The 21375-nt window shown below is 60.7% G+C and overlaps 2 long non-coding RNA genes across 8 annotated transcripts, besides 7 other annotated features; one reads left to right on the forward strand and one right to left on the reverse strand.

The window, feature by feature from the left end:
* Positions 850–11596, forward strand: LOC105372711 (uncharacterized). 7 transcript variants are annotated; one of them, XR_007067706.1, is made up of 4 exons: positions 850–1667; positions 3318–3554; positions 5844–8362; positions 8879–11596. It is a non-coding gene; the product is annotated as an uncharacterized LOC105372711 (long non-coding RNA). The 7 variants fall into 7 exon arrangements; XR_007067703.1 differs by having other exon boundaries at positions 8921–11596; XR_007067705.1 differs by having other exon boundaries at positions 8301–8362.
* Positions 4922–5803: an enhancer, noted in NCBI's record as "H3K4me1 hESC enhancer chr20:61059580-61060461 (GRCh37/hg19 assembly coordinates)". NCBI's record gives its function as "activates a minimal SCP1, AML or CMV promoter by ChIP-STARR-seq in primed H9 embryonic stem cells {active_cell/tissue: H9 hESC(primed)}" and the evidence as "EXISTENCE:reporter gene assay evidence [ECO:0000049][PMID:30033119]".
* Positions 5804–6684: an enhancer, noted in NCBI's record as "H3K4me1 hESC enhancer chr20:61060462-61061342 (GRCh37/hg19 assembly coordinates)". NCBI's record gives its function as "activates a minimal SCP1, AML or CMV promoter by ChIP-STARR-seq in primed H9 embryonic stem cells {active_cell/tissue: H9 hESC(primed)}" and the evidence as "EXISTENCE:reporter gene assay evidence [ECO:0000049][PMID:30033119]".
* Positions 11039–11246: a silencer, noted in NCBI's record as "fragment chr20:61065697-61065904 (GRCh37/hg19 assembly coordinates)". NCBI's record gives its function as "represses an EF-1alpha promoter that drives an FKBP-Casp9 reporter gene in an ReSE screen in HepG2 liver carcinoma cells {active_cell/tissue: HepG2}" and the evidence as "EXISTENCE:reporter gene assay evidence [ECO:0000049][PMID:32094911]".
* Positions 11597–15222: 3626 nt separating the features above from the next.
* On the reverse strand, positions 15223–16412 carry LOC124904947 (uncharacterized). Its single transcript, XR_007067707.1, has 2 exons — positions 16261–16412; positions 15223–15883 (listed from the first exon to the last, which is right to left on the reverse strand). It is a non-coding gene; the product is annotated as an uncharacterized LOC124904947 (long non-coding RNA).
* Positions 15324–15393: an enhancer, noted in NCBI's record as "active region_18203". NCBI's record gives its function as "activates an Ori minimal core promoter by ATAC-STARR-seq in GM12878 lymphoblastoid cells {active_cell/tissue: GM12878}" and the evidence as "EXISTENCE:reporter gene assay evidence [ECO:0000049][PMID:35858748]".
* Positions 16477–16982: an enhancer, noted in NCBI's record as "H3K4me1 hESC enhancer chr20:61071135-61071640 (GRCh37/hg19 assembly coordinates)". NCBI's record gives its function as "activates a minimal SCP1, AML or CMV promoter by ChIP-STARR-seq in naive H9 embryonic stem cells {active_cell/tissue: H9 hESC(naive)}" and the evidence as "EXISTENCE:reporter gene assay evidence [ECO:0000049][PMID:30033119]".
* Positions 16983–17489: an enhancer, noted in NCBI's record as "H3K4me1 hESC enhancer chr20:61071641-61072147 (GRCh37/hg19 assembly coordinates)". NCBI's record gives its function as "activates a minimal SCP1, AML or CMV promoter by ChIP-STARR-seq in naive H9 embryonic stem cells {active_cell/tissue: H9 hESC(naive)}" and the evidence as "EXISTENCE:reporter gene assay evidence [ECO:0000049][PMID:30033119]".
* Positions 20465–20965: an enhancer, noted in NCBI's record as "H3K4me1 hESC enhancer chr20:61075123-61075623 (GRCh37/hg19 assembly coordinates)". NCBI's record gives its function as "activates a minimal SCP1, AML or CMV promoter by ChIP-STARR-seq in naive H9 embryonic stem cells {active_cell/tissue: H9 hESC(naive)}" and the evidence as "EXISTENCE:reporter gene assay evidence [ECO:0000049][PMID:30033119]".

Genomic DNA, 21375 nt, shown 5'->3' on the forward strand with positions numbered 1-21375 from the left:
GTTGGCATCTCCGGGCTGTGTGGCCTTGGGTGAGCTGCTTCTTCTGTAAGGTGGGGGTGATGATAGTGCCTGCCTCTCACGGTGGCTTTGGGGAGGCATTAGTGGGACTGGGTACTAAGGGCGTCTGACCCGGGATGGGCATGCAGCAGGCATTGGGCTAATGCTGTCTGAGATAAAACCCAGTGCAGGGATGGAGGCTCTGAGCTGTGTGCCCAGGGCCCTGAGAGCCGGGGAGCCAGGGGAAGTGACAAAGACCAGGAAGGAATTTCTGGCCCTGCCATGGGTGACCCCTCTCTCCTGAAGGCTTCCCTGGTTCACTGGGACCCAGGGACCTGCCATGGCTGGCCTGGGAAGACACACCTCTAAGGCGGGGACCCCACCCCCAGTGAGATAAGAGGGTGGGCATGTTAACCCCCTGGTGACCATACAGAGTTAAGTTCCATGAGTCCTGGGCTGTGAGGGGCTTCTGGGGGCCTGAGTGGCCTGGGGTGCGGCTGGGCTGAGAGGGGGCAGGTGTTGGGGGGTGGCTGGGGTGAGAGGGGGCAGGTGTTGGGGGGTGGCTGGGGTGAGAGGGGGCAGGTGTTTGGGTGGGGCTGGGGTGAGAGGGGGCAGGTGTTGGGGGGGCTGGCATTGGGGTTGGGGGAGGAAGGCTCAAACCATCAGGCTCTGGGTTTCGTTTCCTGCTGTCATTTTCCTAGCAGTGCCCACATAACCCCCATCCTGCCCGCCCCCAGCTTGGGAACCCTTAACTCAGACATACTTATCAAGGGAAAGAAAACAGTCTCATTGTTCAGGAGGATAAGGACCAGCTCCCAGGAGACGCCTCAGACACGGCCCCTGTGGGTGGAGTCCTGGGTACATGGCCTCCCCCAGGGGCCTTGTTCTCTGCCCAGGAACGGCCCCAGGGAGGGCCCTTCCCAGAAGCAGTCCTGGGCAGGGCCCCCTTGAGGAGCAGCCCTGGCAGGTGGGTCCTCGCCTTGTACGCTGCCTGCAGGTGCTGGATGCTCCACATGTGGGCACCGGGGATGGTCCCACTTGAGGCTTTGAGCTCCGGCGAGGCCACCCTCTGTCCAGCCAGGGGGAGGGTGCCTCTGAGAAGGGGGCTGTCAGAGTTGCCTGAGGAGGGGGCTGGGATGACCCCTATCAATCCCAGTCCTGGGGTTCCTTGGCTCTTGTCCCTCCCTGCAAGTGGGGAGGCCATGAGAAGTTGTGGGGAAAGGCCCCAGAGACCCCAGGGCAGGGAAGGAGGCCTGGGGGCTGTGCTGGGGCCTGGAAGGGGGAGGCCTTGTGCTGCTCCCTGTGGTCTGACGGGCAGGAGGTTAGAGGGAGGGGCAGGCCTGCTTCCAGCAGGGTGGTCAGTGCAGGGCAGTCAGCGCAGGGCGGAGGTCTGTTTTCTCCTTGGTTATTTCAGGTAAACCGCATGCCCCGGGCCCCCAGAGTGGGAGAAAAGCCAGTTCATGGCCCTCTCCCCACCTTCAGCACTGCCCCTCCCCCCAGTCTCCACCCTGGCAGGGCTGTGGGGCCCGGGGCATCAGCTGAGCCCACTGGGCCCACAGCACCCTCAGGACCTCGCCACCCCTTGGGACCCACAGGGTAGCATTCCAGGGCTTCTCCTACACAGGGGGCTCCATTCGCCCGAAGGCCAAGGACTGCAGAGCTCATCAATGGTGAGGGGGGCCCGGGAGGTGGGTGCCTTGGGGGTGGTCCCAACTGGGTGGGGTTGGGGAGCCTGGGGGCACCATACGGGTATAAGAATTCATTTTGGACACAGTGTGTGTCCCCTTCTGCGGAACCTTTGAGCTCAATAGCCCAAGGGCAGGCCAGGCTCACCGCCCCTTTGGCTGTTGCCACTCTGGGTCAGTCTCCAGGGGCAAGGACAGGTTGGCAGTGTCCCCCCTCTGCCTGACTCCAGTCTGGGCATTTCTGGAGCATCCTGTGCGCCTGGCTCAGCCCAGCAAGCTGACATTTGAAAGCTCACAGCTGTCCTGTGAGGTGGGTGATTCCCGTGTCGTTTCATGGTGAAGAAGCCAAGGCCAGGACAGAAGTGACCTGTCCCCGGGCCACAGCTGGGCAGGGGCGGAGTTGGCATTTGAACCCAGCTGCGTGCCTCTTGAGTGCTGCTCTGTGGGCCCCGCAGCCTCCTGTCAGCTCCTTCTGGCGCCTGCTCTGTGGGTGTTCCTTTTGTCTAAGGCGCCTGCAGCCCTCAGAGGGTCTGTGGGGTGGGGACAGAGCTCAGCACCCCGCATCCACCAGCACCATCTCCGACCTCTGTGCAGGCTTCGTGTTAGAGGTGGCAGCCAGGTCCTGCCAACGGAAGATGCTGGGCCTTGGAAACAGCCTGCACTGTAGGTGACCCGGCCGGCCGGGCCCAAACTGGCTGCCAAGAAAAGGGAGCGGGAAAGGAAAACAGCTCTCGGCCACATCGCCTGTGTAACCGAATCTGTTTTCAAAGCCCCTCGCAACGCGGGCTCCGCATTCGGCAGGGCAGGCACTCGCCGCCAGATCCCCGAGGACTGCTCAGGGGGTCTTCTGGGAGGAGCTCAAAGCGAGTTTGTTTTCGGGGAGGAGGTCATTGCACTCAAGGTCCCCGTGACTGCAGCGTTCTCAAACGTCCTGCCATGTGCTGGGATAACCCCACCCACCGCAGGCGTGCCCTCCGTGGGGCAGGGAGGGGAAGCAGGTTTGGGCTGTTAGGGCTGCAAGCCAAGGGGCCTGCAGGGCATCTTAGTGAGCTGCTTTGGTGTCCCTGCAGTTGGCGACACCCATTGTCACACCCCCTCGGCACCCTCGGTCTCCCACATGACAGACTTACCTGGGGATGCAAACAGGGCTGGTGATGACCTTGGCCCTGTGCGGTGGGGTGGCCGTTTATGATGGGGCCTGCACTCAACTCACTTTCAGGTCTAGATGCGGGGACCGGGGGAGGTGTCAGCTGGGCTGGGCTGGGCACGACTAGACTGTGGCCCCGTCTGCGGGAGCCCGGCCACCACCTCAGCAACGCCACCTCCTTAGGATGTGGGGGCGGGATTTACTCTCGAGACTCTTAGAGCCAGCGGGTGGCTGGAGGCTCATAGCCTGGCCCAGGCAGCTGGGGGAGGGCTTTGCTGGTGCCTGGGACCCCCCACCCCCTGCATTCTCGCCTTTGCTTTCTCTTTTGCTCTCGTCTTTAACAACATCTCTCCACTCCTCCCCTCCCTCCCTCCTCTGGCCTGCCCGCTCCTTCATTCCTTCTCTGCTCCTAACCCCCGCATAGAGGAGCCTGGGGAGCCCGCAGCCTCCTGACCCCATGTTCCTCTTTCTCTCCTGTCTTCCTGGAGACGTCTGCCACTGACAGTCTTGGAGCCCTGTCAAGGGGACCTGTCCTGCGCTGGGCTGTCCACAGAGGAGCAGCGTGGAGGAGCTGGGAGTGCCCAGCCTGCCTGTGGGCTGCATTGCCGCTTCCTGCCCAGGAGCCCTGCAGCCGTCTGTCCGCCTCTGAGTAGGACAGTGGGGTTTCCTGGCCAGGAGCAGAGTTTGTCACATTCCAGTTATGTCTGCCCAATGTTCAGCTTTTGGTGAGTGTCAAAGAGTCAGCCCCACTCTGCGGGCGGGAGGGGACCTGAGATGTGAATCCAGGGGAGTTAAAAGGCTTCGGAAAGCATCCAAAAGTATAGAGAAAAAAAGGATAGTTGAGGGGCTGGGACGATGCAAGCCTTTTATTTTCATCCTTTAACTTTTTTTGCATTTCTGTATTTTCCACCATGAACAAAGCTCATTGATAATAGAGACTGAAATATTTCATGGATGATTCAAAGAGATAATCTGAAAAGGGAAATAACGTTTTTCTAGGGTCTGGCTGAAGCTGCCCTGCGGATTATGCAAAAACCTGTCTGAGGGAGTGAGAACGCAGAGGCACCTTAGAGCCAGCCATGGCTCCAAGCTCTGAGGATCTGCAACAGACACACATTGGCTGGGCCTGAGCAAAGAGGGAAAGCCACTCTCCTTCAGCAACGAAGGAGTGGGGATAGCAAGGGCTGAGCTTGTACATGCACACCTGTGTGCAGCCACACACATACACCTGTGCACACACATGCATATGCTCATATATGTGCACACATGCAGGCCCGTGCTCACATGCATGCATACCTCTGTGCCCCCACACTTAATGCACATACATGTGCACATGCACACCTACACACATTCCTATGCACCCACCCAGTGCTCATGACAAACCTGTGTGTACTTACGTGTGTACATCCAGATGCACCCACACACTCGCACACATGCCTCTACGTGTACGCCCATGGGCACGTGTGCTCACAGAGGCCTGGAAGGTGCTGTTTTTCCACGCGACGATGGCTGCCGTGCTCGGTGGGAGCAGCCGCGTTGCTGCCTGTTCCCGTGCCCCAGTCTGGCCGTCACTCCTCACCCTCGTCAGGCTCAGGGTGGGAGGGTGAGTAGCCTGGAGTGGCCTGGTCACGTAGGTGGGCAGCCAGCTGGGGCACTGACCTCCAGATGGGCCACGAGAGCCCTTCCTGCATCTTCTGAGTCCCTGACTCAGTGCCCAGTGAGGGTCCCGGAGGGCAAAAGAATGTCTAACGCTCCACCTGTGGGCGGGTCTGGCCTTACGGAAACTTCTCCATGGCAGGTGGAGGCCTGGTTGAGTGGAGCAAAGGGCAGGCATTCCCAGTGATCAGGAGCTGGGGCCAGGCCTACTGACACCTTGATGCTGAGGGGCCAGAGCGGTCCTGAGCGATGTCCCGAAGGCCCAGGGTCTGGGCAGGTGGAGGCAGATGGACCAAGCAGGGCCTTTGTGTTCCAGGGCACTTTGCAGGCAGCAGGACCCCCAGGTCCTCTGGAGAGGGTGGCTGGAGACCCGGCCTGAAGCTGCTGCCCCCAACACCACAGGATACCTGCCTGCAGGTGCCATCCATTGCTTGGGGGCTGCACAGAGCAGTTTTGAGCAGGCAGTGGGGTGTCACCTTGGAGTGGCTGTGAGATGTGCGGGACCCTTGGGGGCCACCTGGGGTCAAGCCCAGCCCTGCCTCTTGGGCTCTGGGACCCTGGGGGAGCCACTCCGTGCTCTGTGCCTAGGTCTGTGACCCTGGAGGAGGGCGGTGCTGTCCATCTCCGGGGACGATGGTTGCATCTCAAGGGTAAGGGCCCCAGGCCTGCCAGGTGCTTCGAGTACAGTCCAGGGGCGGCCTCTCGGGGCTGCTCTGGTGGGCGGCCAGACCCTGCTGGAATGTGACTCTGTTCCTGGGATCAGGACCTGCCCTGTTGCTTGTGGGCAGGGTTGCCTTTGTCAGGTCCTGCCATTTCTGAGCCTCAGTTTCCCAATCTGTGGTGGGGTTGACGTGAGGAAATGAGAAATGCACCCAGGGAGCACTGGCTGGCGCTGCAGGGCAGCAAGGGGGAGCCACCATGGTCACTCTTGGAAAAGTCCCCAGCCCTGCACCAGCAGGGCAGTAAGAAAGTCCACGGCTGCCGCTGTCCTGGAGAGAGGCAGCAGCCCGGGAGAGGCAGCAGCCCTGGCCACACCCCTGCCAAGAGCCAGCTCAGGGGCCCAGGGCCGCTGAGATCACTGGGCAGTTCCCAGGCTGGCTGGGCTGTCCCCTCGTCAGGAGGGCAGGGCTGGCAGGTTTGTGGACGCCTTCCCAGGCTGACCCCCACAATAGCCGCCCTGCTCCACCCTGAATCTACCCGTCCCAGGCTGCGCCTGCCTCCAAGTGCCTGATTGGAGATGGCCAAGCCCATTCCTCATGTACAAAGAATTTCCCGAGCAGCCACAGCTGCTGCAGCTGGAACTTGTCTCCAGATGGGTCGTTCCGAGGGAAACCAGCGTCTCCTGTCTCCTCCTGCAGACATGGGCTGGCGTCCGAGCCCTGGATCCCCTGCCCTGGCTTGGCTTCCTCTGGAGGGGAGATAAGGGGCTCCTGACATCTTGTAGGCTGAAGAACCCGCCCAGCACGCTGACAGGGAGGCGCCAGAGGCAGCCGCAGACCGGCCTCAGCCCCTGCAGCCCCTCCCCTCTTGTTGTTGCAGAAAGAAGCCCTCAGGGCCCAAGGTCGACCCACCCAGCCAGGGGACTGCTCTGTAGCTGTGGCCCACTCCAGCCAACCCGGGAGTGAGGGGCTCCGAAGCGTGCCCAGCACATAGGGAGGGCTCATTCCGGGGGGCACCGTCTCCCAGTCAGAGCAGGCTGGAGCTGGGCACAGCCGAGGAAGAGCAAACGTGTTCTGTCCTTGACTCCTTCTCCAAGTTTGTGATGGCATCTGCCATGGGCCAGACAGGGGCACACGAGAGTGAGCGAGTGGACGTGGCTGCCCTCTGGAGCCTTCCAGGGCGCGATGGCAGGTGTGGAGAGGCACACAGGGAAACCCTGGAGTCTCGCCGAGGTACAAGGCGATGCAGAAAGGGCCAGGGAGTTCCCAGAGACTGTCAGGGGCTCCCTGGGCGGAGGCAGAGACCCCCACCTGGCCCCTGGCACCTCCAGCACCATGGGCGCCCTGGCTAGGGATCCCTTCCTGTCTGAGGTCAGCGCTGCAAACCTGTGGCTGCGGTTACCCCACCATGTTTTTTAAAATTGGAACAATTCATGTAAAAGCCCAGATTCATTTTTTCTTGAAAAAAATTGACAGCCAACTGTGACCACAGTGGGCTTGTTTCTACGCATTGGGGGCTCTTCCCTCGGAACAGGCAGTGCTCTCAGTTGCCGTAGACGCCCCCCACTCCCTGTCATCTCACCCGGTCCCTGCTGGGCCTCTTTGTGGCCCATCCCCTGGTTCAGATATTTCATTCAAAGACCCACCCCCCCAGGGGGAGGCCATCCTTCTCAGGAAGGTCGCTTGGCCTGGACTCGGAACTGGACACTCATTACTGGTCACCCTGTGACTGGAGCAGGACTTTGCCTTTCTGCACCTCGGTTTCTCCATCCTAAGAGGGGCTAACGCCTGTGTCGTGGGACTGTCCCGAGGCGCTCAGAAGCAGTAGGCTTGCTCATGCTTAAGCACAGAGCTCACAGCTGGGGGTGGCCCCTGTGCCACAGGTCCCTGTGTGTGCCCAACTCCCGCTGCAGAGGGCAACGCTGTGTGTGCCCATGTCTGTGCTGTGGATGCAATGTGTAAACTGCACAGCCTTTGACGGTGGCTGCCTGGGTTGGAACGCGGGCCTCTATGTGTGCTCTCCAACGGCCTGTGGCGGAAGGGCAGCCCCTCCCTTGGTGGGGGAAGTTCTCCATAGCTTTGGTGCTTGGGAGGTTTGGAGATGGCTTAGAGAGCCATCGGGATGTGAGGGGATACATTTATCTCTGTCTTCTTGGGGACAGACCTCGGAGGTCCCTCTTTCACCCTTAAAGGCCTGGATGAATGGAATCCGTGGGGCAGGATTCTCAAAGCAAGACTGGTGGGGCCTCACAGGCATTCCTGGAAAAGGGCTGTGGAGTTAAAAACCCAAGCGGGAAATAAACAGAACTAGGCTTAGGAAGGGTCTCTCTGGGAGGCCTGTCTGCCCTCCATCTTTCGTGGGCTCAGGAGCACTGCCTGGGGCTGGGAGCGAGAGCTCGGATACTTTACGTTCTCTGAGGCGCTGACCGTGGCTCTGCGAGGAGGAGTGTTCCTCCGGACAGACATCTTTCAGCGGCGCTGGACTAAGCCATGGGACAGGTCTGACTGTGGCTCTGCGCTCCCCGCCGCCCCATCTGTTGCCCCCTCCCCACTGAGAGCTGGGGGAGGGACGGGATCTTTGTGAGCTGACTTGGGGTCTCAGAGCCGCGGGGAGGGAGGAGTGGGGCTCTCCCTGCGCGGGTTCCTTTTCTGGGTGAGGCGGAGCCTGTTCACCAGGCAGATCGGGGGCTCCCCGGCCTCCACAGATCTCCTGGTGTCTCCCCCCAGGCTGTTCACACTTTCTTTACTTGGGGGGCTGATAAGTCACGCAGCTGGCAGCATTTGCACCTGATTCAAGGAGGTGAACATTTTCCCTGGAGATTAGCCTTGAAGTCAGGGCTGGTCCCCACCCGGGGACGAGGAGAGGACAGAAGGCTACAGAGGGCTGCACCGGGGGAGGGTAGATGGGGCGTTCACCCACCCCTGCTGCCGCATTTTCCTTTGTTGGTTTTGCCCGAGGTCTGATAAGCACCCTGCTCCAGCCAGAGGCCTTATCTGGCCGCCTAATCCCCTGGCCTTGGCTGGAGAACACCAGGGCTTTGCCCAGTCCGCCCTCCCTACCCCCTCCCTGGCCCCTGCAGGCCGTTGGGGCTGGGGGTGGAGGGAGAGGGAGGTGGAGTGAATACCCCCTTCCTCTTGCTCTTTCTCTTCCAACAGGGCAAGGGGTGCCGGTGGTTGAAGAGGCCCCTCTGGGCAGGAACCTCTCACCTGGGGCACGGGTGAGTGGGAGCCATCCTCCACTGCCCACCTCCCAGCTGTGGCCCTGAGCTGCACTGGCCCTGTGGCCACAGACCAGTTGACCAGGAAGCCCTGGGAATCAGTAGGAAATGAGTTTGAGACCCGGTCCTTCACCTTAGGAAATGAGTTTGAGACCCGGTCCTCCACATTAGGAAATGAGTTTGAGACCGGGTCCTCCACACAGGCATCTGTGCACATACACTCAGGCTCAGCAGGAGTTTGAGACCAGGTCCTCCACACAGGTTTCTGGGCACATAGACTCAGGCTTGGCAGGAGGCCCTCCTGGTGCAAGTTCCAGCCCTTCCTTCATTTTGTGTCTGGAGCAAGTGAGCACCCCATGTGCCCAGAGTTCTCATCCAAGAAGTGGGTTGATGAGCCCAGCCTCGCAGGGAGCTGGGAGGTGGGAAGAGCTCACCCTGGTCTGGCTTGTGGTCCTTACAATGATGGCATCATTGTCATCATCATCATCATCATCCTCCTCCTTGTCAACCACTTAGAGCTCATGAAGACAGCTCCCTCCATCATGCCCTGTTTTATAGCTGAAACCAAAGAATTCAAGCTCCATAAGGAAGAACCTAGAGGCCCCCCACGTCAGCCTGCCCCAGCCTGGAGCTTACCCACCATGGAAATGTGTCTGTTGGCCTTACAGAGGAGAAGGCATTTGGGCAGGGCTTTGAGGTATGAGTAGGAGTTTGCTGAATGAAATGAGAGGAAAGGGTTTTCAGGGCAGAGGGAACAGGTTGGGGTGGTAAGAAGGGTCCTGAGGCCCATAGAGAGTGACTGCTATGAGTGAGTGGTTGGAACTGGCGTGACTGAAGATGGGGAAGGACATCTGGGGGTCGGGGGTGCCAGAGGAGTTGGGGATTTATCTGGAAGATGGTGGGTGCTAAGGCAAGAAGAACCAATTCCTTTTTCTTTTTGCCAAAGCAAAGCCCTCCATAGGATTTCCTTTTGGACTTTCTTTTTGAAAGAGTAATGCACACTGACAGTAACCATTTAGATAATACAGTTTCTAAAAGAAAAGCAATGATCCTTTGCCTCTCCCACACCCACCTTTTCCCCACAAGCCCCCAGAAGGCTGGGGGTCTGCTCTCCCTCCCTTGACAGCTGCAGGATGTTTTGTGGTGGGGTGTGAGGGGCTTTGGCCAGTCCCTGGAGATGGACGTGCTGGTGTGTCCAGTTTCCCCAGCCCACTTAAATGGGTGCAGTGAGTGGCCTTTATAAGTTCCCCGAAGGGGGCGTGTGGGGGACAGTTACAGACATGTCGTTTAACAAATGCTGCAGATCCCCTTCCAGAAGTGAAGAACATCTCAGCCGTGCCCTGGCAGGCCTGGCTCCTCCCCCTCCACACCTGAAGTTTCTGTTTAAAATGTTTGGCCACTGGAGGGGTGAAGACACTCACCTGTGCCTGAGGCACTTTATTATCCTGACTGAGCGCGCCCTGCACCTCTCACTGTCCTGAAGTGGCTCGGCCCTCGGGCTTCATCTGGGCCTTCTGTACCTGAGCCTGGGCTTGGCCCAGCGTGGCCAGTGGGCTCCGGGCCCCTCCTGCCAGCCTAGCACTTCTGAGACAGAAGCCTGGCGCAGCAGGCAGGCACCTCTGGACTTTGAGCCTGGGCCCTTGACAGCCAGGGAGAGGGCGACCCCCAGCACACACTACCCTAACCTTTAGCAACGTCCCCACTGCAGATGGGGGTGCTAGCCTTGAAAGTTGGGTGCCCCAAGGGTTGGGGCAGGAGGGCAAGGGGCCGCCCCAGGGAGGTGGTGCATGACACAGCCTATAACAGGCAGTGACTCACTGCTCATCCAGCCATAAAGTCAGGGTGATAGGCTCAGTGTCCCAGCCGTGCTCCCTGGAGTCCCTGCCCCAACGTCATTCCCTTCTCTGCAGCCTGCGCTGGGCAGAGCTCCCTCCCCAGGGGGGCCGCCTGGGCCACTCTGGGACCATCCACCCATTCCAGACCCACCCATTCCAACTCACTTGCTACTGCTGGGGAGACTGAGTGCCAGGGAGGGGGAGCAAGGGTAGATGGAGAACTAACAGTGTCAGAGTCCACAGGTCATCTGTCCCCCACTTTACAGTGTGGACTGCGGGAGGGGATCCCAGTGTGGGCTGCAGAGCTCAGGGCCAGGATGCTCGGCCTGTCCAGGCTGCGATCTGGAGGAAGCGGGTACTCTCTGCTTAGCCCAGGGCCTTCCACGCTCCTGGGGGCTGCGGGGACAGATCCAAGAACATGGGCCCTGGGGCCATGGTGTCCGATTCAACCCACGCTTCCTCCCTGTTGACACCGGGCAACTTGCTGAGCCGCTCCGTGCCTCAGTTTCCTCGTCTGTAAAGTGGGATTCATAGTAGCTCCTTCCCGACTGGGCTGTCTGGGGATTGGTGAGTGATGCCGTGGGGCAGGATCATGATTTACGGGGTGCCTGTATGTTCTCCCAGAGACGGGAAGGGCCCTGAGGGGTGACTCCTCACCAGATAGCGGGGTCTCCCAGGGACTAAGCAGGTGGGAGGGATGGGCGCTGCCCTACTGTGCAGAGCCTTGGCGGGATCCCTTGACGCTGTCCCCAGGCTCTGCGGGGCCAGGAATAGGGCCACTGGGCCTGGGGTCCTTGTAGTTCAAGGGTCACCCTGAACTGCGGGGCTCTAACTATAGAGACCCTGGGGCAGTGACGCCTGTGCAACCTGCCCGCCTGTCACTCCCTCCCCCAACCCCTCACACTTGCCCTGCCTCCTTGACCTGCCCTGCCCACCCCTCACCCTCACCCTCACGCTGCCCCCTTATCCCGCCCCTGGCACCTGCCCTGCCCTTCCCCTCCTGTGATGGTTAATACTGAGTGTCAACTTGATTGGACTGAAGGATGCAAAGTATCGATCCTGGGTGTGTCTGTGAGTGTGTTGCCAAAGAAGATTAACATTTGAGTCAGTGGCTGGGAAAGGCAGACCCATCCTTAATCTGGGTGGGCACCATCTAATCAGCTGCCAGCTCTGCTAGAATATAAAGCAGGCAGAAAAACGTGAAAAGGCTAGACTGGCCTAGCCTCCCAGCCTACAGCTTTCTCTGTGCTGGATGCTTCCTGCCCTCGAACATTGGACTCCAAGTTCTTCAGCTTTGGGGCTCAGACTGGCTCTTCTTGCTCCTCAGCCTGCAGACGGCCTATTATGAGACCTTGTGATCACATGAGTTAATACTCCTTAATAAAGCCGCCTTTATATATACATCTGTCCTGTGAGTTCTGTCCCTCTAGAGAACCCTGACGAATACAACGCCCCTCACCCTCACACTGGCCCTGTCCCCCTTGCTCCTGCTGTGCCCAGCGCCCCTGCCTGTTCCTTCCCATGCCACAGGGAGCTCTGGACACAGAGTGATCACAGAAACTGGCCCATTCCAACCTTTTTGTCACCTCTGGGGAAACTGAGTCCTGAGGTGGGGGGAGCAGCGTAGCCTGGAGAGCTGTGTGACTCTGAACCCCCACCCCAGAGGAAGGCTGGAAGGAATGCCTGCGTGCAGGTGCAGTGCCCAGGACAGTGGCCCCAGAGAGCTCTGGAGGAGGGGATGCCCAGCCAGTGAGAAGACGTGTGTCTTGAAACTCCAGATGGGTTTTAGGGCCTGCGGCTGGTAAGCAACCTCCTCTCTGTGCCTGCTCCCCACTTCAGCTGTGAGCCCGACTCCCACCCTCACACTACTCTGCTCTTCTGAAGGGTATGACCTGGGGACCCACCGCCTGCACTTACGCTCCTGTCTCCCTCCCTCTCTCCTTCCTCTCTGCCTACCTGGAGCCAACTTTGAGCCTCTAATCTGTGCCAGGCGTCCTCACTGCCCCCTTTTCTATTTGCAGGCCCTTCTCTTGCAGGAAGGCCCCCTGAACCCTCACCCACCCACCCCACCCCCACCAGGCTCCCAGGGGAGCCTCTCCCTGGCCCTGCCAGGTGCCCACTGTGCCCCTGCTGTGGTGTGGATGGGGATTCTTTCCCAGTGTGACATGGCGGGGGGGATCTAGAGGAGCTTCCCAAGGGAAATGGGCTTCTGTGCTGTGCTTCAGAGGCTGAGTAGGAGTTTTCCTGGAAAAGGCACAGCAGTAGCGGAGGCCTGGAGGCCTGCAGGGAGAGTGGCCACTGTGCGGGGCGGGCCTCCACCCTGATGGCCTCACTGCTCCAGCCTCTGTTCTTTCTTCCCCAAAGTGCCAAGTTTCTTTCTCTCGTGGCACAGGGGTTCCTGCAGCCCTGGAATCTATCTGTCATTTCTGCAGATGGAGGAGATGGCCCCTCTCCCAAGCCCCTCCTGCTGTAGGTGGAGGCCTGAGTCTTCTGAGGTTCCCTGCAGCTCTCCGGGACCCAGGACTTGAGTGGTGGGGTTAGCAGGATGCGTCCACAGTTGTGGTGGTGACAGGGAGGCCCTCCAGGTATGGACCTCGTGGTGGGCTGGGTGCTGCAGACGGATGGGGCAGAGACCTGCAGAGAAGCCCCTGTCCCCGGGCTTATGGGCGGGGAAAGAATAAACATGGAAAGAAGGATAGATGGCTAGGAGGGCACGGCAGAAACAGCAGAGCCTCAGGGCTGACATTTGAGGGGTGATCAGGGAGGCCTCCCAGAGAAGGTGACACGGGTGCTGAGGACAGATGATGAGGGCCCAGAGCTCCAGCACAGCCCAAGCCCAGCTGCTGCACAGTAGCCACTCACGCCTGAGGCCGGGATGGAGGCGGTGGGGAGGAGGGAGCTGCTGATCACAGGGCCACAGGGCTTCCTGGGCCAGGCCAGCTGTGGGTGAGGGTCTCTTCTCCCAGCGCAGCAGGCCCCCCGAGCAGGGGAACTGGTGAGACATAAGACCTCTAGGGGCCGCAGCTGCAAGAGAGGCCTGGAGCACGGGGGCCGTGCAACACTGGGGGGTGCTGAGCCCCTCCTGTTTGGGCAGGACAGTTGTGGGGGGCCTGGCATGGGGCTCCCGCCCAGTGGAGCATCTGGCTCCTGGGGAGAGGCTGCCTCGCAGGGCCTGATGTGACTCCCAAACCCCACAGCCCCTGGGGCCTGCAGAGTGGGATGGCGGACAGCTCTTGCCAGCCTCGCTGGAACCCCCAGAGCCCCCCACTTTCTCTAGGCACAGCCAAGCTTCCGAAGGCCCAGCCAGCCCTGCCTCCCGCCGGCTCCCTGGAGCTGCTCCTCCTGTTCCCTTCTCGTTGGGGTTTCTTGTGCCGTTGCCAAGGGTGTCCTGGGCAGCCCCCTCATACCTGCAGCAGCTGTGCCAGGCCCGCTCAGCACCCCCTCCAGGCAGTCTCTCTGCCTGCCCTGGAACCTCAGTGGAGACCCAGCTCCCAGGGCCCTGGAGACCACCTCCCCAAGGCCCGGGCAGTGCCTTCTTGTGTCCATACACAGCAGGTGCCCAGTGGCTGTGGCATCAGATAGGGATCTCTGCCCCGGGCACACACGCCAGGACCCTGGGAGGGAAATCAGAGGAATCCAGAGCTCTGGAAACAAAGCCAGGAGTGGGTGGGGAGATAGAACATGCCAGGGAAGGTCGGGGACCAGAGAGCTGGCTGCCAGGGACTCCCATGCCACGTGGGTGCGTGGGGCGAGGCTGGCATAGGCTCAGCTCAAGGACTGACTCTGGAGCTTCCCAGGCAGGGCTGGCCTCGGGGGCCCGTGACCTTGACCCCAGGTGACCCCACGCTGGTGTCATGCTCTGCTTTCTGGGCAGGCTGCTTTAGGTGGTGAGGCCCCCAGCCCTGGAGGGGTCCCAGCAGCGCTGTGCAGGGAAGAGGGCAGGGAGGTGTGGGGGGGGCGGTGTCTTGCTTGGACCCAGCAGGGTGAGGGTGGACCAGATTCCCCGGGTGGCCTCGGCAGGTGGAAGGCAGGGACCTCCATGCATGGACTGAGTGCCTCTGCGCAGGGCCTCTGTGGAACCTTCCAGAAGCCCCGGCTGTGTTAGTCACCAGGCTCCTTTGACAAATCACCGCGCACTCAGGGCCCTCAAGCACACCAGTTCCTCAGGGTACACTTCTGGGGGTCAGAAGTTCTAAGTGAACCTTAAGGGACTAAAGTCAAAGCTGCTCTCTCTGGAGGCCCTGGGGGAGGATTCTTCCTGCTCCTGCAGCCGCTGGGGCCTCCGGCCGCTCCCGGGCTTGAGGCTGCGTCGCTCCAGTCCCTGCCTGCGTCTCCATGGGGCCTCTTCTTCCTCTGTCTGTGTCAAATCTCCCTCTGCCTGTCTCTTATAAGGACTCCTGTGGTCTCATGTAGGCCCCCCTGGATAATTTGGGGTCATCTCTCCATCTCAAAGTCCTTAACCATCTCTGCAAAGTCCTTTTTGCCACCTCAGGGGACATACTGAAAGGTCCTAGGATTAGGATGTGGACGCCTTGGGGAGCTGTTATTCTGGATGTGGACATCTTGGGGAGCTGCTATTCTGTCTCCCACGGAGGCGATATTATCATCACCACCCACTTTACAGATGAGAACCAGGAGGCCACAGACAGGCCACGGTACTTGCTCAGGCGTCCCCCAGCGGGGAGTGATGGGTTTGGGATCTGAGCCCAGGACATCCTGAAACCAAAGCTCCTCAACCCCATCAGACCAGGGCAGAGTTGATGAGGCCACGAGACCTCTGCTGGAGACCCAAAGAGGGGAAACTGAGGCTCAGGGAAGGCAGGTAACCTAAGGTTGTGAGCTTGCCAGGGTCAGTGCAAGGGTGGGAGCCCAGGCCTTGAGCTCACCCCCCCAAGTGTGTGAAATGGTCGCTCCTGTCTTCCCCCACTGTGCCTTCTCAAGGTGAAATCCTGCCTCACACAGTCCCCGCCCCCATCCCAAGACTATTTTTAGGGCCGGGCTACAGATACAGGAAGTTGGCAGGGGTCGTTTGCGACAGGAGTTTACTGAGGGCTCCTGTCCCCTGTGAGTGCTGTTCAGATGGAGATTTAAAATGGTTAGACCTCGACCTGGGCCCTGGGACAGGACACACAGCACCCCTGACAGAGGCCCTGGGAAGTCTGCAGAGCCTCAGATACCGGCCTCCTGGGTGCAGGAATGCTGGGGGCGCTGGTGGGTTGCAGTTGGAACCAACAGGTTGACATGAGCATCACAGACAGGAAAACCGAGTACACACCAGGTCTCTAGCAGGAGGGCCCTGCCCCGGGACGCTGGCGCTGGCCTTGGGTGCAGATCGAGCGCCAGGATGGGGCCTGACACTCAATTCTTCTCCTTTGAGGCTCAGGGAGATGTCAGTTGGCTTGAAAAACCGCCAGACTAAATATAGCTGTGAAACTTCCCGGAACACATTATTCCAAGTGTCCAGTAATTAATGCTCAACAACACACAGTGTCTTCCAGAAAGCCGAATCCACTCTGAATGTCTTGTGGGGTGGGCGGGGGGTCGTCACCGGGAGGAGGCATGTGGGGTCCCTGATGGACGTGCAGGGCAGACAGATGGATGCGGGCGAGCACGTCCTTGGCCCCCTGAAGTGCCAAGACTGGCTGAGGTTGGCACCCTCCTGTTGGATCAGGCCGTCCTCAGGAGGCTGTGGGCGGACGGGAGCTCAGGCCGCAGGGAAGCCGTGGCCTCTTTCTGCTGTGGGGCAATCACTGCCTCCTGCAGGAAGCTCTCCTTGCCTGCCCTGGCCTCGAGGGGCCCTCACCCCACCCAGTCTGTCTGGTGAAGGCCCCTTCCCATCTTCCCAAGCAGATTAGCCCACCAAGGCCAGGCCTCGTCCACCTCCCTCACCACCTGCCACAGAGGGAGGTTTGCTGAGCACGTGTGGGTGACAGACGGAGGCTTCTGGAGGGAGGGGTACAGACAGAGGTTCCCTAGGCTCTGGCCCCTGTGGCCTCCCTGCTCCTCCCAGCCCCGGCCCGGGCTCCCGGCACCTCCCGTGGAGCTGGCGGCCCCTGGACTCACCTGGCACCCAGGAAGGTGATTACTCCAAAGGCTCCCAGAAGGCCATTTACCTTCCCCAGGCTGTTTTCTCACAGGTGGGGGTGAGGCTGCCCACAGCTCAGCTCAGTTTGCAGAGGAGAAAGAAACAGCCCCAGCCCCTGGCTGCTGGCGTCTCCCGGCTGCTCCTGAGTCTGGCCCTTCAGGCCTCGTGCCCGCTCCTCCTCCCGCCCACTCCCCCTTGTAGGGAGGGCCGGGTGACCCGTGTGTCTCCACCTGGCCCCGTCCCATGGGTCAGCAGTGGCGATTTCCATGCAGAGGGCTGGGTGTGTGGACACAGGTGGGGTCAAGCGCAGGGCCAGTGGCCTCAGCACATCCGCAGGGCTTTCCCGGCTTTCTGGGAGCTGGCCTGCCTCTGTCATCTGGGCTCTCAAGCGGTGCCTGGATGGTGGTCTCGCAGAGGTGCAGGGGGGTCAGGGAGGCTGCCTGGGGAGTGGAGGACTGGGCTTGTGGGGCCTCGGCTGAGTGGCGTATTTCCATCCCCGCAGGGCCAGAACCAGGGAGATCCTGGTCCGCCCTCCCTGTCTGAGCAGCCACACGCAGGGCCTGTGCGTCCTCCACCTGAGCCCCCTTCCCGAGCCCCGGACCCTGCTGGGTGGGTTGGGAGGGATGGGCGGTTGCGGGGTGGGGGTGGCGGTTCCGGCAGGCGACGCCCGACCCTCCTGGATGGGTTGGAGGGTTGCAGGGTGGGGGTGGGGGCTGACAGGCGATGCGCGCCCCTGGTGGCTCGCGGGGCACTTCTCTGGGACCTGGGTCTGCGAGGGTCTCCAGGAGGCGCCGGGCGTTCGGGACCCAGACAGCGCCAGGGCTTTAGGAGCCCCCCTCCCCGACCCAATATGACTCCAGCTCGTTGCAAACAGACTGAATCTCCTCTCCCAGGGCCACCAGCACCTGAGCGTGTACAGAGCATGGATGGGCCCCGAAACTCTCATTTCTTGTTGCCAAATTAAATCCAGGCAAATGCCAGCATGCTTAGACACAAACGACCATTTATTTCACACGAAACGAGGAGAAATTGTTGATGCAGCCACCTCGGGGGTGTGCGGGTCAGAGGGTCAGAGGACGGCCTCGGGGAGGCTGGCGGAGGGCGAGGCCCCAGTGGGCAGGGCTGCACCGTCTGCCACCCTTGGCTGTGGGAGGCGCAGCTGCGGGCTCGGGCCCTGGTCGTCCGTGTGACTTGTCCCCACCTGGCACGAGTGCTGCCTTTGGTGCCTTGGGATCTGCTGTGGGGCCAGGGGCTCAGTGCTGTGTCCTCCAAAGCTGCTGCTGAGTCTCTGCAACCTCTGAGGTGGCTGCAATGTCAGGCCCCCAGGGACCCGGGCCTCAGGGGAGGGCCAGGAGGAAGGTCTTGAAGTATTTGATACTTGGGGACGGGTCTCCCAAGCATAACTTCCCGCAGAGCCACAGCCACCAAATCACTCTGGAGAAAAGCACCAGGGGGAGGGGCCACGGGAGCGGAGCACAGACCCCAGCTGCCCTCGCATACCCAGAGGAGCGTGTTCGTCTCCACAGCAGCTCCGAGGATGCGCTGGCTGGAGACAGTTCAGAAAGTCGGAAACGTCAAAGGGGGCGATGCCACAGTGTCATTCTGTCTGTGGAGCCCTAAAGTGTCAGCCCAGGGGGTGGTTCTGGGGTCTCTGGAGGAACATCCTGTGTAGCAGGGGAAGGGGGGGTGGGTGTGGGGGATGGGTGGGTGTTGGGATGGGTGGGTGTTGGGGATGGGAGAGTGTTGGGGTGGGTGGGTGTTGGGGTGGGTCCGTATTGGGGATGGGTGGGTGTTGGGGTGGGTGGGTGTTGGGGTGGGTCCGTGTTGGCGTGTGTGGGTGTTGGGATGGCTGGGTGTTGGGGATGGGAGAGTGTTGGGGTGGGTGGGTGTTGGGGTGGGTGGGTGTTGGGGATGGGTGGGTGTTGGGGTGGGTGGGTGTTGGGATGGGTGGCTGTTGGGATGGGTCCGTGTTGGGGTGGGTGGGTGTTGGGATGGCTGGGTGTTGGGGATGGGAGAGTGTTGGGGTGGGTCCGTGTTGGGGTGGGTGGGTGTTGGGGTGGGTGGGTGTTGGGATGGGTGGCTGTTGGGATGGGTCCGTGTTGGGGTGGGTGGGTGTTGGGATGGCTGGGTGTTGGGGATGGGAGAGTGTTGGGGATGGGTGGGTGTTGGGGTGGGTGGCTGTTGGGGTGGGTGGCTGTTGGGGTGGGTCCTTGTTGGGGTGGGTGGGTGTTGGGATGGCTGGGTGTTGGGGATGGGAGAGTGTTGGGGTGGGTGGGTGTTGGGGTGGGTCCGTGTTGGGGATGGGTGGGTGTTGGGATGGGTGGCTGTTGGGGTGGGTCCGTGTTGGGGTGGGTGGGTGTTGGGATGGCTGGGTGTTGGGGATGGGAGAGTGTTGGGGTGGGTGGGTGTTGGGGTGGGTATGTGTTGGGATGGGTGGGTGTTGGGGATGGGTGGGTGTGGGGGTGGGTGGGTGTTGGGATGGGTCCATGTTGGGGATGGGTGGGTGTTGGGATGGGTGGGTGTTGGGGTGGGTGGGTGTTGGGATGGGTCTGTGTTGGGGATGGGTGCGTGTTGGGGATGGGTGGGTGTTTGGATGGTTGGGTGTTGGGGATGGGTGGGTGTTGGGGTGGGTGGGTGTTGGGATGGGTCCGTGTTGGGGATGGGTGCGTGTTGGGGTGGGTGGGTGTTGGGGTGGGTGGGTGTTGGGATGGGTGGGTGCTGGGGATGGGCGGGTCCGTGTTGGGATGGGTGGGTGGTGGGGATGGGTGGGTGTTGGGGTGCATGGGTGTTGGGGTGGGTGGGTGTTGGGATGGGTGGGTGTTGGGGATGGGTGAGTGTTGCATTGAGTGGGTGTTGGGATGGGTCTATGTTGGGGTGGGTGGGTGTTGGGGTGGGTCGGTGTTGGGATGGTTGGGTGTTGGGGTGGGTGGGTGTTGGGATGGGTGGGTGTTGGGGTGGGTGGGTGTTGGGGTGGGTGGGTGTTGGGATGGGTGGGTGTTGGGGTGGGTCCGTGTTGGGGTGGGTGGGTGTTGGGGTGGGTAAGTGTTGGGGATGGGTGGTTGTTGGGGTTGGTCCGTGTTGGCAATGGGTGGGTGAGTTTTGGGGATGGGTGGGTGTTGGGGTGGGTCGGTGTTGGGATGGGTCAGTATTGGGATGGCCGCTGGAGGGTGGGGGCAGCTGGGACCTACCTTGGCTGACCCCTCCCCAGACCCTGACAGTCTGAGAGAGGTGGGCTTGGCATGCAGCGGGCAGCAGAGGAGAGCAGTTAGGGAAGTGAGGCTGGGGAAACAGGGAGGGAGAGAGACAGCTGCGATGTCATTACAAGTCAGTCACCAACAGTTTCCAGGTAGGGAAGGCATCTCTTTATGGCAGCAAAGGTGCCAGGAAGGTGGGCTGGGGTCTTCCAGCAGCTTCCAGAGCTGAGAGCAGCTGCTCAGGGGTCTCAAGTGAGTGTGGTGGGCTAGGCCACCCACGGTTATGCTGCCCATTCCATCCCCCTGCCTGGGGAAGGGCAGGGCAGGAACGAAGGGGGGTCCTTGGTCTCGGCATGGGGCAGGGACCCCCGATGTGGGAGCAATGGACACATCCCAGTCCTCTCTCCGTCTCTGCCTTGTCAAGCAGGAAGCCTTCTTGGGGCCATGGGTCCCTAATGCTTTTCTACGCCCAGCTCAGGTCCTGGGGATCAAGGAGCCGCAGGCTGGGATGGGCGAGCCTCTGCAGGAAGGTCCTGGTTTATTTTTGCGGTCGCTGTGCAGGTCAAGAGTGATGCTGCTTCACCTCTTGTGGCCACCATGGTGGGTTCCTTTAGAAAGATTTATTTAAGGACGTCAAAGAAACTGAGCAGCAGCTGCCTCTGAGAACCTGGCGTAGGGAGGTCTCATCTTCCTGGGGTTATACCCGTTCAAACGCAGAGACAGAGAAGAAACAGGAAGAACTGATCGTGCACAATAGATTCCCCCAAGTTAAAGGTGCGGGGATCTAGAGAGGAGCGTTCAGTAAGCCCCGCACGGGCGTGCTCAGCTCTGTCCCGCATCAGGGAGCCAGGCCAGGAACCGAAATCGGGATGTGGGCCGACGCTTAACCTGGACAGTTGTCCCCTTGGCGTAGAAGACACCAGCACACCCCCTCCACTTTGGACAGATGCCGTGACCAGCCCGGAGCCCCAGCAGCTCCATTCACAAGGTGCTTGGGAAAATAAATTTAGGTGTCTCCATTCGTAACTCAGCAATGTGATTGAGCGTCTGTGGGAGAAGCCTTATTCCTGCAACGGCTGTGTGTGTGTGATGGGCCGGAGCCCGGGGGAGTCAGGAGCTCAGACTCAAGTGAAGCTCAGAGTGAACAGGAAGGGTCACAGCCGCACCGTCCCCCAACCCCCAGGCGGTCAGAATCCAGAGCGTGGGCCCAGGGCTGCCCCTGCCCGTCGGTCCCCGGAGAAAACGCCCGGTGTGTGCGGAGCTTCACCACCAGGGGGAGTCCGAGGCCGTGTCCAACGTGGGTGTGCGGGAGGGCGGGGGGAGGGTGTGAGCCAGCGTGTCTGTGTGTCCATGAGTGTGAGGGTGTGTGCAGGCGTGTCTTACTGTGTATGTGTGGGTGTGAGGGTGTCTGTGAGCCTGTGTGCGTGTGCGGGTGTGTGCAGGCATGTCTTACTGTATACGTGTAGTTGTGAGGGTGTCTCTGTGAGCGTGTCTGTGCATGTGAAGGTGTGTCCATGCGTGTGAGGGCGTGTGCAGGGGTGTATATGTGTGAGTGTGAGGGTGTATTTGTGTGTCTTACTGTATATGTGTGTGAGGGTGTGAGCCAGCGTGTGTGTCCATGCGTGTGAAGGTGTGTGCAGGCATGTCTTACTGTGTATGTGTGGGTGTGAGGGTGTCTGTGAACTTGTGTCATACATATGTCCATACGTGTGAGGGTGTGTGCAGGCCTGGCCTCCTGCACTAGTGTGGGTGTTTGTGTGTGCAGGTGAGAGGGTGTCTGCCTCTGCTGTCGTGGGTTGGGATTCGTGTGTGCAGGTGAGTGGGTGTCTGCGTGTACTGCTAGTGTGGGTGTTCGTGTGTGTGTGTGAGCGGGTGTCTGCGTGTACTGCTAGTGTGGGT

Source organism: Homo sapiens, chromosome 20 (assembly GCF_000001405.40).
Source record: "Homo sapiens chromosome 20, GRCh38.p14 Primary Assembly".
Classification (NCBI taxonomy): Eukaryota; Metazoa; Chordata; class Mammalia; order Primates; family Hominidae; genus Homo; species Homo sapiens.